At 39.6% G+C, this 18,278-nt stretch overlaps 1 long non-coding RNA gene and 1 pseudogene across 1 annotated transcript; both read right to left on the bottom strand.

Annotated features, from left to right (window-relative positions):
- Positions 830 to 2,025, bottom strand: HNRNPA3P3 (heterogeneous nuclear ribonucleoprotein A3 pseudogene 3; annotated as a pseudogene).
- Positions 16,292 to 17,061, bottom strand: LOC728660 (uncharacterized). The gene is made up of 2 exons (NR_148935.1): positions 16,872 to 17,061; positions 16,292 to 16,683 (listed from the first exon to the last, which is right to left on the bottom strand). It is a non-coding gene; the product is annotated as an uncharacterized LOC728660 (long non-coding RNA).
- Positions 17,062 to 18,278: the final 1,217 nt, after the last annotated feature.

Below are 18,278 nucleotides of genomic sequence, written 5' to 3'. Positions count from 1 at the left end.
TTTCCTAGTTCTAAATTAATGTTGCTCCTCTTTATCCTATTTTCAACCTCAATGTTTTGTTTGGAAGACAAATCCCTCCTCTTTCGCTAACCACTACTACTAAATATGAACTGCCAAGAATCTAATATGTAAATTATTTTAGTTGTTATCTCCAGAATAAAATGAAATCATGGAAATATCAAGGTCTCTGTGTTCTGACTTAATTAAAACATTTTGAGAATAAATTGCAGTGTATCTTATTCTAATTGAGAGCATTTAGCCAGATGAGAAAAGACAAACTATTCAAGAGTTCGTTCCAATTTTCACCTATTTAGATTCCAACCTCTCATCCTCCATGGTTACCTTTGGAAAGCCCTTACTTAATAGAGTCATGATAGAGAAAATAGATTTTCCTTATGACATCTGTTTTTAGGTGTGGCTGTTTTAAGATAGTATGCTTTTCTTTTTTTTTTTTTTTGTGAAAAGTTAAAAATTCCTTAATTTTTTATTCCTGGTACCACTACCACAATTTACAGGGCAATATACCTGATGTAATGAAAAGAAAAATAAAAAGACAAAGCTACAACAGATAAAAGACCTCAGGAATGTACATCTAATTGACACTACATTGCATTAATCAATAGCTGCACTTTTTGCAAACTGTGGCTATGACAGTCCTGAACAAGAAGGGTTTCCTGTTTAAGCTGCAGTAACTTTTCTGACTATGGATCATCGTTCCTTCTGTGGCAGATTTTTACAGTTCCTCTAATGCATTTGGGACGACTGTCTCAAAGTAACCTGCAGCTTTCCTGACAACTCCTCGCTCTCTCTCTCCTGCTAAGAACTGTAGCCCTTTTTTGCTGTTTTTAGAACCTTCTGCTACCATATCCACCACTTCCACCACCAGATCCATAACCACCACCATAGGGACTGCCCGAGTGTCTTCCACCAAAACTGCCCCCTTTCATGGGTCCATAATTTGATTGCTGTTGTCCACTATAATTTCCAAAATCACTATAGTTCCCACCACCACCATAGTTACCACCGCCAAAATTTCCTCCTTCATTGTAACCATCATATCCTCCACCACCTCCACCATACCCACCACCTTGGTTTCCATATCCTGGTCCACCACCGCCATAGCCCCCTCTACTACTACAACCAGGACCACTGCCATAGTTGCCACCATCACCTCCAAATCTATTATATCCACCATCACCTCCCCCATAACTACCTCTGCTGCCACCACCTCCACCACCATAGCCTCCTCTTCCACCAAAGTTTCCACCAAGGCCAAAATTACCTCCACCATCTCCAAAGCTTCCTCCGCAACCCATAAAATTGCCAGACCCACCTCCACGACCTCTCTATGATCCAGCAGACTGCATTTCTTGTTTAGAAACGGCCTTTTTGCTTCACAATTATGCCTATTAATAGTGTGGTATTTCTGAACAACAATTTTATCAACTGTATCGTGACCATCAAAAGTTACAAAAGCAAATCCTCTCTTTTTTCCACTCTGCCTGTCTTCCATAACTTCTATGGTTTCAATCTTGCCATACTTTTCAAAGTAGTCTCTCAAATTATATTCTTCTGTATCTTCTTTAATACCACCAACAAAAATTTTCTTCACTGTTAGATGGGCACCGGGCTTTACAGAATCCTCTCTAGAAACAGCTCTTTTTGGTTCCACTACATGCCCATCAACCTTGTGTGGTCGAGCACACATTGCTGCATCTACCTCTGTAACACAAGAATAAGTCACAAAACCTAAGCCCCTGGAACGTTTTGTTTGGCGGTCTCTCATTACCACACAATCTGTGAGTGTGTCCCATTTCTCAAAATGTTCTTTTAAACTATCTTCTGTAGTTTCAAAGCTCAGACCACCAATAAACAGTTTTCTCAACTGCTCTGGTTCCTTTGGATCATGGCCCTCCTCCCTCTGGCAGCGACAGCCGACGGCCGGAGTTGGGCTGGGGGCGACCGGGCGGTGGTTTTACCTCCATTTTGAGACCAGACTCGCCTCTTCCAATTCAAGTTCAGTATCGATAGTATGCTTTTCGATGGCAACAAAAGCCATAATTGACAAATGGGATCTAATTAAACTAAAGAGTTTCTGCACATCAAAAGAAACTATCATCAGAGTGAACAGGCAACCTACAGAATGGGAGAAAATTTTTGCAATCTACTTATCTGACAAAGGGCTAATATCCAGAATCTATAGAAAATTAAACAAATTTACAAGAAAAGAAAACCCCATCAAAAAGTGGGCAAAGGATATTAACAGACACTTCTCAAAAGAAGACATTTATGTGGCCAACAAATGTGAAAAAAAGCTCATCATCACTGGTCAGTAGAGAAATGCAAATCAAAACCACAATGAGATACCATCTCACACCAGTTAGAATGGCGATCATTAAAAAGTCAGGAAACAACAGATGCTGGAGAGGATGTGGAGAAATAGGAATGCTTTTACACTGTTGGTGGGAGTGTAAGTTAGTTCAACCATTGTGGAAGACAGTGTGGTGATTCCTCAAGGATCTAAAACCAGAAATACCATTTGACCCAGCAATCCCATTACTGGGTATATACCCAAAGGATTATAAATCATGCTACTATAAAGGCACATGCACACGTATGTTTATTGCAGCACTGTTCACAATAGCAAAGACTTGGAACCAACCCAAAGGCCCATCAATGATAGACTGGATAAAGAAAATGTGGCACATATACACTATGGAATACTATGCAGCCATAAAAAAGGATGAGTTCATGTCCTTTGCAGGGACATGGATGAAGCTGGAAACCATCATCCTCAGCAAACTAACACAGGAACAGAAAACCAAACACCGCATGTTCTCACTCATAAGTGGGAGTTGAACAATGAGAACACATGGACACAGGGAGGGGAACATCACACACCAGGACCTGTTGGGGGTTTGGGGGCCAAGGGAGGGATAGCATTAGGAGAAATACCTAATGTAGATGATGGCTTGATGGGTGCACGAAGCCACCATGGCACGTGTATACCTATGTAACAAACCTGCACATTCTGCACATGTATCCCAGAACTTAAAGTATAATTTTTTTTAAAAAAAGATAGTATGCTTTCAAAATAAATGCTAATGTTCTCACTCATATATGAGAGCTATAAAATTGGAACACATGGAGGTAGAGAGTGAAAAATTAGATAACAGAGACTGGGAAGGATGTGTTGGGGGAGGGGAAGGGTAAAGAGAAGTGGGTTAAAGGATACAAACATACAGTAAGATAGAAGGGATAAATTCAGTGTTTACTAATAGAATAGGATGACTATACTTAACAAAAATGTATTGTAGTTGGGTGATGGATACTCCGAATACCATGACTTGGTCGCTATGTATTATATACATGTAACAAAATTTATGTACCCTATATATTTGCACAAATTAAAATAAATAAATGTTAATAAATTAAGTTTTAATGGCCACATTCTCTCGTGAATCTTTTTCAGAAATTATTATATTGGATTCAATATAAGAGTGGTTAAGGAGTGAGACTCTCAATGCCAGAATACCTGGATAAAAATCTAAGTTCCACCATTGTCTAGATGTGTGACCAAGTTACTGACAACATCTATACCTCTATTTTCTCATCTAGAAAATGGAGGCAATAGTGGTACCTACCTCATATGATAGTTGGGAGTAAATACATGTACTTAGAATAGTGCATGACACATAGTAAACTCATGTGTTTGCAATATTTATATATTAATACACATAATTTATATAACTTAGTTGTAGCAGTATCTTTAATGGTTGTATCAGTAATCTATTGATGCACAATAAATTGCCACAATTTCACAGCCTAAAACAATACCCATTTATCATCTGACAGTTTTTGTAGGTCAGGAATCTGGCCGCTGCTTAACAGGATCTTCTGCTTCAGGGTCTCTAATGACGCTACAATCAATGTGTTAACCAGAGCTTGATTCTCTTCTGAAGGTTGGCTGGGGAAGGATTTGCTTCCAGTCTCATGTAGTTGTTGGGAAAATTCAGTTCCTTGTGGTTTGTAAAACCAAAGGCCTCAGTTTCTATCTGGCTATGGGCCAGGGGCTGCCCCAAGATCCTTGCCACAGTGTCCTCCTCAACAAGACAACTTGCTTTTTCAAAGCCAATAAGGTAGCAAGTGTGCTGGAAAAACAGAGATTACCATCTCTTGTAACTTAATCACAGAAGTGATAACTCATCACCTGCACCATATACTCTTTTTTTTTTTTTTTTTTTTTTGATACAGGGTCTCGCTCTGTCACCCAGACTAGAGTGCAGTGGCGCAACCTCGGCTCACTCCAACCTTGGCCTCCTGGGTTTAAGCGATTCTCCTGCCTCAGCTTCACAAGTAGCTGGGATTACAGGTGCATGCCACCACGCCTGGCTTATTTTTGTATTTTTAGTAGAGACAGGGTTTCACCATGTTGGCCAGGCTGCTTTCGAACTCCTTACCTCAAGTGATCCATCCGACTTGGCCTCCCAAAGTGCTGGGATTACAGGCATGAGCCAGCACACCCGGCCAGCACCAGATACTCTTAGTTAGAAATAAGTCACAAACCAGCCCACATTCAAGGGGAATGAATACCTGGATGTAGGAATCACAGGAGGCCATCCTAAATGGCAACCACGATGTCTTAAAAAGGAAATGAAATATTGTCGAGATGTTTAAGAAGATTGATTTTGTAGTCAACTTACCCAGGTTTAAGTGCTGAGTGATTTTGGGCAGGTTACTTCATCTTTCTGAGCCTCAGTTTCTTCACCTATAACATAGAGTAATAATAGTACTGCTAAGATACTTTGGGAAGAATTACACGTGAATAACTGTTTATCAATCTTGGTTTAAACTTAGTGAGTGCTTAACAAATGTTAGTTAATGTTATTATAAAGCTAACAGAATGGGGGCTGGGCATGGTGGCTCACGTCTGTAATCCCAGTACTTTGTGAGGTTCAGGCAGGCAAATCACTTGAGCTTAGGACTTTGAGACCAGCCTGGGCAAAACGGCAAAACCTCATCTCCACAAAAAATACAAAAATTAGCTGAGTGTGGTGGCATGTGCCTGTATTCACAGATATTCGGGAGGCTGAGGTGGGAGGATCACCTGAGTCTGGGAGGTCAAGGCTACAGTGAGTCATCACTGTGCCACTACACTCCAGCCTATATGACAGAGTGAGACCCTGTCTCAAAAAAACAAATAAATAAAAAGCTAACAGAATGGTATTTAGTTTAACAAACTACTATAGCCAGGGCGCGGTGGCTCACACTTGTAATCCCAGCACTTTGGGAGGCTGAGGTGGGCAGATCACTTGACGTCAGGAGTTCAAGACCAGCCTGGCCAACATGGTGAAACACCACCTCTACTAAAAACACAATAATTAGCCAGGCATGGTAGCATGCACCTGTAATCCCATCTACTCGGGAGGCTGAGGCACGAGAATCACTTGAACTCAGGAGGCAGAGGTTGCAGTGAGCTGAGGTCACGCCACTGTACTCCAGCCTGGGCAATAGAGTGAGACTCCGTGTCAAAAAAAAAAACACGAAAAACAAAAACAAAAACAAAAAAACCAAGCTACTATATTCCATATATTACTACTAAAAAGGTGATCAGATGGGGCTTGGGAAAAATGAACATAAAAGGCCATCACAAAATTGTTACACTCCCTTGTTAATTATGCCCATTTGAAAAGTGTCACTCCTGTATATACTCTCAGCTAGGTTTTGGTGTTTTTACGGTGCTTCTATGCTCACAATGAGATTAATAATGACAATTAGAACTCAATCCTCCACACCAGCTATTCTTCGACTACAATCAAGCCAGAGCATCTGCTATGCATATATAAGACTTAATTGCAGAATTGGTACGTTTTCTTGATTTAAGTATGCAATCATTGCAATCCCTCTATAGGCCAGTCCTTTGTTGAACACTGCGGGGACACAGTCCCTGAGTCAAGGAGCTCACAGTCTCTATGGAGTGTCAGGTAAACAGGGAATGACAGTAATATGGTGTGACACACACTGCAGCAGAAATTGGCTTAGGGTACTATGGAGGCACAGAGGAAGAGCATTAACCCAAATTGGGGGAATCAGGAAAGGGTTTTCTGGACCTGAGGCTTGACGAGTGGGTAAGAAAGGATATTCCCAGCAGGGAATATAAGAAGTGAAATAGAGATATTCTCTGCTCTCAGTTTCACAGTTTATTGGGGAAGATAAATTCATGGAAAGCTAATGAGAACACTGCTTGTGATGAAATGCTGCAGGAGCCTAAGAAGGTGGATTCTGACTGGGGAGGAGGATGATCAGTGAAGGGTTCTCAGTGGAGGAGAGAGCTAGCCAGACTTTAAGGATGGGAAATTTTATCAGTGTTTGGTCTTCTTCAAGTTTTCTCCATTGCTACTTCCAGCAGTAGGTGGGAATCATTTTATTTTTTGTTAATCAGTCTTCACTATTCATGAGTGACCCAAAGAATAAAGTCAGGCTGGGCCTGGTGGCTCACGCCTGTAATTCTAGCACTTTGGGAGGCCAAGGAAGCCAGATCACCTGAGGTCAGGAGTTTGAGACCAGCCTGGCCAACATGGTAAAACCCCGTCTCTACTAAAAATACAAAAGTTAGCTGGGCGTGGTGGAGGGCGCCTGTAATCCCAGCTACTGGGGAGGCTGAGGCAGGAGAATCGCTTGAACCCAGGAGGCGGAGGTTGCAGTGAGCTGAGATCACGCCACTGAACTCCAGCCTGGGTGACAGAGTGAGACTCCGTCTCAAAAAAAATAAATAAATAAAAATAAACTCATTGGAATTTAGAACGCTAGGACAGTCTACCAGCATTACACCTTGGCTGTTTCTCAACTTAAGCATTATCTTTGCCCTGCATGTTCATATATTGCCTGAATAATGACATATGAATAACGATAGTGGTCTAACGTTTGTATAATGTTTTTCAGTTTATTAATCATATTTTATAGAAGTTAAATCTACAGATTAATTGTAAGTTGCACTTGATAAAATGATAAAACAGCCACCTATAATCACCATGCAATTAACTGGACGCTACCATTTTGCTTCATTTGCTTCAGCTCTCTCTAATAAATAATGTATTACAAATACAGCAAAACTCTACAACCCATGACCTCTTCATCCATATCTCTCCTTGGGTAAACACTGTCCTGCAGTTGTCATGCATCACTTTTGTGCATATATTTGTACTTATGTATGAATATAAGCAATTATTTCAGCCGGGCACAGAGGCTCACGCCTGTAATCCCAGCTCTTTCAGAGGCCGAGGTGGGCAGATCACTAGAGGTCAGAAGTTCAAGACCAGCCTGGCCAACACGGCGAAACCTGTATCTATTAAAAATACAAAAAATTAGCCAGGCATGGTGGCGGACATCTATAATCACAGCTACTCAGGAGGCTGAGGCAGGAGAATCACTTGAACCCGGGAGGCGGAGTTTGCAGTGAGCCAAGACTGCGCCACTGCACTCCAGGCTGGGTGACAGAGTGACACTCCATCTCAAAAAAAAAAAAGTATTTCAAGTATTCTTACAATTTTTAAAATTGAATAGTGTATGTTTGCTCTTTTTCTTCATTTTTTCTATGCAATATTGTTTTTAAAAACTTATTCATGCTGATTAATGTTGCTGTAGTATTCACTCTAGTTCATTCATTTTAACAGTTACGTAGCATTCTACTGTATAAGTAAATCACAGCTTAATTACCCATTCATCAACTGAGAGATAATTAGGTTGTTTCCACTTTTTAATTTCAATTTTATATTTTGCTATTACAAAGAGTACTGGAGAAAATGCTCTCGTGGCATGTCCCTTTGTGCCCACTTCTGAGAGTTTTGCTCGGGGAGACACTTAGGAATTGAATTGCTGGGCCACAAAGTATAAGCATTTTCCAGTTTACTAGATTTGCCAGATTACTTTGCAAAGTATTTTCTCTGTTCTGAGCACTTTGTACGTATTAATTCGTTGTATCCTCACAACAACCATAGGAAGAAAATACTGTATAAACTCCTTTTTACAGATGTGAAAACTGAAGCTAAGAGAACTAAAGCAACATGTCCAAGGTCACACAGCTACAAGCAATAGAGCTTGCATTTGAATAGAGGCAGCCTGGTTCCAATGCCCATGATTTTAACCACTGCAGTGTTATATCTCCTGATCCAACCTATTATTGTTTTAATTTGCATTTATTTTTCCCATTACTAATGAAGTTGAACATCTCTTATTACCCCCCACCTTCTTTTATTGGCAGGAACGCTAAGTACCGTGGAAGCGGTAAGTACTGAAAAAAAAAAAAATGCCACAGCCTTATCGTCAAGGGAAATGATTTTTTACAAAAGCCCGGCTTTGCCCATGGCCTCAGCAGGAAGTTTAGAAGACTACTGCAATTAGGCCGGGCGTGGTGGCTCACGCCTCTAATCCCAGCACTTTGGGAGGCCAAGGCAGTCGGATCACTTGAACCCAGGCATTAGAGATCAGCCTGGGCAACATGGCGAAACCCTGTCTCTACTAAAAACATACAAAAAAAAGTAGCCAGGCATGGTGGTGCATGCCTGTAGTTCCAGCTAGTCAGGAGGCTGAGGTGGGAGAGTCCCCTGAGCCTGAGAATTTGAGGCTGCAGTGAGCCATGATTGCACCACTGCACTTCAGCCTGGGCAATGGGAGTGAGATCCTGTCTCAAAAAAAAAAAAAAAGAAAAGAAAAGAAAAGAAAGGAAGACTACTGCAATTAATGGACTGATTTGGAGGAGGAATATCTTTTTAAAATTAGTTTTATATGGAATGAAAAAAGAGCCCACATTGCCAAGACAATCCTAAGCCAAAAGAACAAAGCTGGAGGCATCATGCTACCTGACTTCAAACTATATTACAAGGCTACAGTAACCAAAACAGCATAGTACTGGTACCAAAACAGAGATATAGACCAATGGAACAGAACAGAGGCCTCAGAAATAATGCCACACATCTACAACTATCTGATCTTTGACAAACCTGACAAAAACAAGAAATGGGGAAAGGATTCCCTATTTAATAAATGGTGCTGGGAAAACTGGCTAGCCATATGTAGAAAGCTGAAACTGGATCCCTTCCTTACACCTTATACAAAAATTAATTCAAGATGGATTAAAGAGTTAAATGTTAGACCTAAAACCATTAAAACCCTAGAAGAAAACCTAGGCAATACCCATCAGGACATAGGCATGAGCAAGGACTTCATGACTAAAATACTAAAAGCAATGGCAACAAAAGCCAAAATTGACAAATGGGATCTAATTAAACTAAAGAGCTTCTGCACAGCAAAAGAAACTACCATCAGAGTGAACAGGCAACCTACAGAATGGGAGAAAAATTTTGCAATCTCTCCATCTGACAAAGGGCTAATATCCAGAATCTACAGGAAATTAAACAAATTTACAAGAAAAAATCAAACAACCCCATCAAAAAGTGGGCGAAGGATATGAGCAGACACTTCTCAAAAGAAGACATTTATGCAGCCAAAAAACACATGAAAAAATGCTCATCATCCCTGGCCATCAGAGAAATGCAAATCAAAACCACAATGAGATACCATCTCACACCTGTTAGAATGGCAATCATTAAAAAGTCAGGAAACAACAGGTGCTGGAGAGGACGTGGAGAAGTAGGAACACTTTTACACTGTTGGTGGGACTGTCAACTACTTCAACCATTGTGGAAGACAGTGTGGTGATTCCTCAAGGATCTAGAACCAGAAATACCATTTGACGCAGCAATCGCATTACTGAGCATATACCCAAAGTATTATAAATCATGCTGCTATAAAGACACATGCACACGTATGTTTATTGTGGCACTATTCACAATAGCAAAGACTTGGAACCAACCCAAATGTCCAACAATGATAGACTGGATTAAGAAAATGTGGCACATATACACCATGGAATGCTACGCAGCCATAAAAACGGATGAGTTCATGTCCTTTGTAAGGACATGGATGAAGCTGGAAACCATCATTCTGAGCAAACTATCGCAAGGACAGAAAACCAAACATCGCATGTTCTCACTCATAGGTGGGAATTGAACAATGAGAACACTTGGACACAGCGTGGGGAACATCATACACTGTGGCCTGTCGTGGGGTTGGGGGAGGGGGGAGGGATAGCATTAGGAGACATACCTAATGTAAATGACGAGTTAATGGGTGCAGCACACCAACAGGGCACATGTATACATATGTAACAAACCTGCACATTGTGCACATGTACACTAGAACTTAAAGTATAATATAATAAATAAATAAATTTAAAAAAATAAAAAATAAATAAAATTAGTTTTATTTTTTATTAAATAAATATACACATGTAGTTTAAAGAGACAACTAGATCTATAAGACCTGTTAAGAAAAGCAACAGTCCGTTCTCCACATGTATCCCAGAACTTAAAGTTAAATAATTTTTTTTTAAGAGAAATTCTGGCCCCGTGATGGCAAAAAAAAAAAAAGAAAAGAAAAGAAAAGCAACAGTCCTTTCTTGTATTCTGCTCCCCAGATGCAACCACTTTCAGTTAGTTCTTTGAGCTGATTATATTTCTATTTACAGCTACTTCTCCAAATTCCATGCTTGCATGAAAAGGGCTTGGGTTTACAGCTTGAAGCATTTTTTAGATTGAGTTTACGTTATGGGAGATAGGAGTTAGCCTCTGTACCTGTCTCTCTCTCTCTCTGCTTCTCTCTTACACACACATCCCACGACCCATCCATATGCTCTCAATATAGTTACACTTTTAGATCAATATTCAATGTTAACATTATTATGATTATGTAGACACAATAGTCAACTTAGTCATGAAGTACATTATGATTATTTTCCATCTCCTTCACATTTTTCCCTAGCATTTTTAAAACTTACTTGATTTTCTGTGTACTTACCACCAAAACAACCCCAAATTCTCCTCCTGGCAATTTCATCTTCTTGAAGAAATCTCTCCCAGAACTTTCAGGACTGCTGGAATCTGAACTCATTGCTCTAGGCCTGCTGAACAGCTGTGATCTAGAGATCTCTTTTTACCATCATCCTAGAGATTTTTTTTTTTTTTTTGAGACAGAGTCTCGCTCTGTCTCCCAGGCTGGAGTGCAGTGGCAAGATCTCGGCTTACTGCAACCTCCACCTCCCGGACTCAAGTGATTCTTCTGCCTCAGCCTCGCGGTTAGCTGGGATTATAAGCACCTGCCACCATGCCTGGCTCATTTTTGTATTTTTAGTAGACATGGTTTCACCCTGTCGGCCAGGCTGGTCTCAAACTCCTGACCACAAGTAATCCACCTGCCTTGGTCTCCCAAAGTGCTGGGATTGCGGCATGAGCCATGGCGCCCAGCTCATCCTAGAGATTTTCTTTGCATCTCTCTTGTGTTGAATTCTTGATTGCTTAGATCCACATCTACTTTTTGGGCCTACACTCCCATTTGAGTGTAGCCCACTCTCCAATAGTTGCCTAAGAAAGGGTGTGCAGTAAACTCTATATTTTATTTCCCAAGAATTGCCACAGAGATATGTTCTGTCCAACATATTTCTCCAGAATCTTGCCACTTCTCTGTGCAGAGGTAGACTCTGTGTTCCCTCCTCTTCAACCTGGGCAGACCATTGAGCATACCTTGACTAACAGAGCATGACAGAAATGATGCCGTGTGGTTTCCAAGTCTAGGCCATAAAAATCAGTAGTTTCAACCTGGCTTTCTCTCAGAATCCTCAACCTTTGAACCCAGCCACCATGCTATGAAGAATCACAGGTCACAGGTAGAGGTCTATGTGGAGAGAATCAAGGACTCCAGCTCTCAATTCTGTCTAAACTCTCAGCCAGCAGCCAATATTAACTGCCAGACACATGAGTGAGCAATCTTGAAGTGGGCCTTTCAAGTCTCAATTGAGACACCCTAACTGATACCACTTGAAACACGAGCCCAGCCTTCGCCATTTAGACCTACTCGAATTTCAGAGTCATTAACAACAACAACAAAATTATTGTTGTTTTTTTAAGCAACTATGACTTAGGGTGGTTTTTATGTAACCAGAACAGAATGAATTGGAGGTAAATATTTTGAAAGCCTGCATATCTAAAAATGTATTTATTCTGTCATAACATTGGAAACATAGTTTGGCTCAGTATAAAATCCTAAGAAAAAATTTATTTTCCATAAATAATATATTAAGACATTCTTCCAGTATCTTCTAGCATCCAGTATTGCTATAAAGAAGTGAAATGCAATTTTCATTTTCATTCCTTCATGTGTGATATTTGACTTTTTTTCTCTGAGACAGCATTCAGGATAATTTATTTATCACAAAATTCTGAAATTTCAGATGATAATATGTATATATTCATTCCTTTTGGTGGACACTCATTGGGTTCTTTTAGTCCAAATGGAGACTCCAGTACCTCAGTTCTACGGAAATTTTATATATTACTAAATGATAATTTCACGTTCTTTATTTTCTTTGTTTTCTCTTTCTGGAATCCCTATTATTCAGATGTTAGATCTTTTGGATTGACTTTCTGAAGTTATATTTTTGCTCTTATTTATTTTTCTTTTATTCTACTTCATAGGGAATTTCTTCACTTTGTATTTCAGCATTAGTATTCAATTTCTGAAATTGAGGTATGCACAAATTTCAATGTATAACTAGATGAACTTTTACATATGTATATACCCAGTCATGTAACCCCCACACATATCAAGATATAGAATATTTTCATCACTTCAGAATATTTCCTCATGCCCATTTTCCAGTCAATATCAAACCCAAAGGTAAACAGTATTCTGATATTTATTGCCACATATTGTTTTGACTGTTCTCAAGCTTCAGAAAAATTATAGAGTATATTTCTTTTATTTAAAATAATGTTTTTGGAATTTAATCGTGGTTGCCTGAGTTTTTAATTAATATTTAAATTTAGTTGTTATATTTTTTAATTTTCAAGAACTAGTTTTTGTTCTATTATTACATTTGGAAACCATCCTGGTTTGGGGATCTTATTGCTTATTTATTTATTATTTTTAGTTATGATGGGTATATAATAGTTGTCCATTCTGTTTTTGTTTTGTAAATGTAATTATCTGCCCTTATCTCTCTAGAATAACAATAGCTTAAGAACCCTTTATTTAGGTATAGTCGACATGAAGTAAAATGCATATATTTAAAGTGTACAGCCGGGAACAGTGGCTCATGCCTATAATCCCAGCACTGTGGGAGGCCAAGGTAGGAGGATCCCTTGAGCCCAGGAGTTCAAGACCAGCCTGGGCAACATAGTGAGACCTCCTCTCTACAAAAAATGAAAAAAAAATTAGTCAGGTATGGTGATGTGTGCCTACAGCCCCAGCTACTAGGGAGGCTGAGGTGGGAGGATTGCCGGAGCCTGGGAGGTCAAGTCTGCAGTGAGCCCAGATCACACCACTGCATTCCAGCCTGGGCAACACAGTGAGACCCTGTCTCAAAAAATAAATAAATAAAGTGTACAAACTGAAAAGGTTTGACGTACATAATCATCTATGAAACCATCTCCACACTTAAGGTAATGAATATATCCATTATTCCCAAAAGTTTCTGTGTGCTCCTTTGTAATCGCTCCTTTCTACTCCTTCCACCTCGACTCAAATTTGTCTCCAGGCAACTAATGATTTTCTTTATCACTATGGATTACTTTGTAATTTCTAAAATATTATATAAATGGAATCATATAGTAAACACTTTGTTTTGTTTGGTTTCTTTCTCTCAGCATAATTATTTTGAGATTCATGCATGTCATTATGTGTATTCTTAGTTCATTCGCTTTTTATTGCTGAGTAGTATTCCATTGTATGAATATACAACAATTTGTTTATTATTTAATCTATTAATGGCCATTTGGGTTGTCTCCAGTTTTGAGCATTTGGAGATTACGAATGAATATGTTCAGTATTTTAATTGAGGTGTTGGTTTACCAGAAGTCTATGTATGTGGAAACTGATCAAATTGCATACTTTAAACATGCAATTTTTTTGTAGGTTAATTATTCCTCAATAGAGCTGTTTAAAACAAAAAGAAAAAAAGAAAAACAAAAATACCAGAGACTGGGGCCAAATTATGAGAGATTTTACATAAAAAATATTTCCCTCCATGACACAATTAATATACTTCTCACCTGGATACACACACACACACATACACACACACTCACACACACACACACAGCCAATTTAATTGAGCTATAATTACATGACATACAATTCATTCATTTAATGTACAACCACTTAATAAATGTGCATAATTGAATGATTTTTAGTATATACACTGAGTTGTGAGGTATATTTTTAACGCCGCTACCTCAACAGAATATTTTTAGTAATACACATGAATTAACACAAATAATTATAACCAGAAAGAAAATAAAGTGTAAATTTTCTCTATAAAACATTTTGCATATAGTTGTCATAGTAAAAATCATAAGGCAATTTTAAGAAAATTAAGCAAAAGTAAAATGTAGGCAACTACTAAAATATGCAACTGATATAAAATTTTAGCATTTTGATTTTTATGTAGTATTAATGAGCAATTAAAGAATACATTTCATGCTTGAGTATATTGTTCAAATTCAGTAAAATATTTTATTTTCAAATGTAATAAAAATGTCTTTATCCCCCCAAATTTTACTCCTTAAATTTAACACTTCGTTTCACCGATTTAGACACCAATAAAAGCAAGTGATTACACAGAATCACAGAGCTGAGGTGGTTGTTCTTTGCCTTTATAATCACATGCTATAATTTTTAATTTCGTGTACTTTTAAAGTGTAGACATATGTGTCATATATTACCACAGGGACTGCAGTCTGGAAGTATGCTCAAAGCAAGCTCAAACTGAGGTAGGAGGCAGGACTTGACTCCAGAGGCGGGGCTTGGACAGCAGACCCAATTGAGGACTAGCTAAACCAGGTCTAGGGCAGAAGCAGCTTTCCTTAAGCCTTGTCTAGCAATGTGGCATGTCAATTTACCGTTGCCATGGCAACACCCAGGAGTTACTGCCTCTTTCCATGGCAATGACCTGACAACCTGGAAGTTACCACCCTCATCCTAGAAATTTCTGCATAAATTGCTCCTTAATTTGAATATAATTAAAAGTGGGAATCAATATGAGTGCAGAACTGCCTCTGAGCTGCTACTCTGGGGACACTGCGTATGGGGCAGCCCTGCTCTGCAAGGAGCAGGAGCAGTACCTCTGCTGCTCTCTACACTTCTGCTTCAATTAAAGTTGCTGTTTAACACCACTGGCTTGCCTTTGAATTCTTTCCTGAGTGAAGCCAAGAACCCTCCCACCTAAGCCCCAAGTGTGGGGCTTGCCTGTCCTGCATCAAAACAATTCCAAATTGTTAAGAGCTTACTTTAGAAAGGAACAGCCTATGTCTCGGACCAACTATTTAATAAGGATTTATCCAAATTAACTTCCCTGTAGAATAAAATGATTATTAAAACATAAATATTAAAAATCAGCTAATTTGCACCTTACATTGATTTTATTCAAGCTTAAATTTAACCACAGCAATCTTTCACAACTCAGACCAAAAGAGGATTTGGGGAGAGAAAAATTGAAAACTTGTATCTGCTGCTAGTAAGTAAAAGACTGACTTTTCCTGGGTTTTATTATTCTTATATTAAAATTCTCTGCAGACAATGTTTTTCTTTATGGCCAGCAAGTGGGCAGACCTCTGCCACTGCCCCCACACTTGGTAGGACACTGCTCCATCCTAAGCTACTTAACAAGAAAGTGGCCTAATTAGTGCTGGGTTTGTGGCCTCCAAACTCTACTATTTGTCTATCAGGGTGCTGAAAGTGACTCCTGATAGGATGAGTTTTGGGTCCTCCTGAGGGCCTTTACTTGCTTATAGCATAGTGTGGGGTACAACATACACCACTATGACATGGGTGACCTGGAGGTGGTTTTATTTTCTTTTTGTGGGGTGTGTTATTGCCACACACATCACACATAAAACCCTCCTCCTAACTGGGTTCTGGGAATTTAGACCTTGATGTTGCTACCCACACCTACCCTAAGTACATGTAGAAACGCCAAAGCCCTTTTTCTTCTTGTCTGTGGGGCAAAGTGTTGATTTGTCTTCATTTCTTAGTCCTCACCCACTCCTTATCCCCCGATGGCTAACTGTATACCTGTTGGTCTGGCCCCCAACCTTACAGGACCCTGCCTCTCTCCCTCTTAGCAGTTTTTCTTCCTTAACCCCCTCCCCACTACAGACAAACATCCACATCATCCTTTTACATTGTGCTGATTTTATTGCATTCATCAGCATGGGTGGAACACTATTGGTCTCAGCTTTGGCCTTTATGTGATTGGTGATTCCCCAGAGTTGCTGTTGCTAGTTGTACGTTTCTGATCCAGGCTCTGCATTTACTGGCAGCAGAGATGGTTACTTGGGATGGTTTGCTTTTGCCAGCGGCTTCTGGGCTTGCTCTTCTGATTTTCATTTTCTGTTGTCTTTTGTGCTTGCTCTTCCGATTTTTATGTTGTGTCTTATTCTGCTTGTGGTGACACACAAATATTGTTGGTCTCATTGTTATCCTAGGCTTTTTGGAGCAGGAAGGAGGTGATTGAGTTTTTTTTCTTGAAATCCTTTGAAGGGGTTTTTTAACCTTTATGATTTTCTTCTCCACCTGGAAGCACAACACAGTGAGCTAGAAGGACATTGGTTTAGGGGAAGAGAAAGAGGTTGTATAGGAAGGGGAGCTTTATGAATAGGAGTGCAGGCTGAGGAAGGGGGTTGTGCTAGGCAAGGACAGGATAGGGGTCTTGAGAGAATAGAGGGGGAAGAAAAGAAGGAACAAGGATAGGATCATCTGACCTTGCCATTTTTGTTGGTCTTTTGTTGAGAAGAGTTCTTCTTTTCCTTCTTCTCTTTGGTTCTTGGGGTAGGCTTTTTCGTGCTTAGAATTGGTTGTTTCATATTTTCTTTAGGCTTCACTGGTGTGTGGGTCTCCTTAGCCATATTTAAGCCTCCCAACAATCTACCCTATGCTCCTGACCTCCTTATGTATACCCACCCCTGGGTAATGAGGAGCCCTACCCTTCAGCTTTGTTTGGTCAGAATGGGGCACCCCATCCAATGGTAGTCTTGGGGTGGCTTGGACATCACAAAGCGCTGATACCTCTGTGGGGGTGGTGTTGCTGGGGTGGCCAAAATGTGGTTGGAGAAAGGGGATTTTTCCACCCCAAATACTACCCGAAGGTCCATTTCAAAATGACCTGCTACCCTCATCATTTCCCCATGTTCAATTCTGGTGGGTCACATAGCAGGGAGAAGGTGTTTCCTTAAAGGCATTCCCTACAGCCACCCCCATTCAGTGGTTCATTCTGTTCTCTCCCACCCTTTACCATGACCTACTATTTTAGATGTCTTATCTAAAATCCCTCCAAGGTACAGTGGCCTTATTTAATTCTCAGTCAAAATATGAATCAATCCACTTCCCTCAAACAAATTTCCATTTGTATCTGTTTTGGTATGGTTTGTAAACTAAGACAGGTGTTTTTGGTTTTTTTTTTTTTTGGTTCACATTTCTTTTTTTTTTTTCATGATAATATTTTTTTTCCTGCATTTTTATTTATTTATTTATTTATTATTATACTTTAAGTTTTAGGGTACATGTGCACATTGTGCAGGTTAGTTACATACGTATACATGTGCCATGCTGGTGTGCTGCACCCACTAACTCGTCATCTAGCATTAGGTATATCTCCCAGTGCTATCCCTCCCCCCTCCCCCCACCCCACAACAGTCCCCAGAGTGTGATGTTCCCCTTCTAAAACCATAAAAACCCTAGAAGAAAACCTAGGCATTACCATTCAGGACATAGGCATGGGCAAGGACTTCATGTCTAAAACACCAAAAGCAATGGCAACAAAAGCCAAAATTGACAAATGGGATCTAATTAAACTAAAGAGCTTCTGCACAGCAAAAGAAACTACCATCAGAGTGAACAGGCAACCTACAAAATGGGAGAAAATTTTTGCAACCTACTCATCTGACAAAGGGTTCACATTTCTAAATGGTTGAGAAAAAAAGCAAAAGAATATTTTATGATGTAAAAATTATGTGAAATTGAAATTTCATTGTTCATAAAACTTTACTAGAACACAGATACACTAATTTAACTATCAGCTATGGCTGCTTTCACACTACAACAGAGTAGTTGCGACAGAGATTGTATAGCCTGCACCACATAAAGTATTTGCTATCTGTCCTTTTAGAAAA

The sequence above is a fragment of the Homo sapiens genome, chromosome X (assembly GCF_000001405.40).
Source record: "Homo sapiens chromosome X, GRCh38.p14 Primary Assembly".
Classification (NCBI taxonomy): domain Eukaryota; kingdom Metazoa; phylum Chordata; class Mammalia; order Primates; family Hominidae; genus Homo; species Homo sapiens.
The sequence above is the reverse complement of the archived record's forward strand: the minus strand, read 5'-3'. Positions and strand labels throughout refer to the sequence as shown.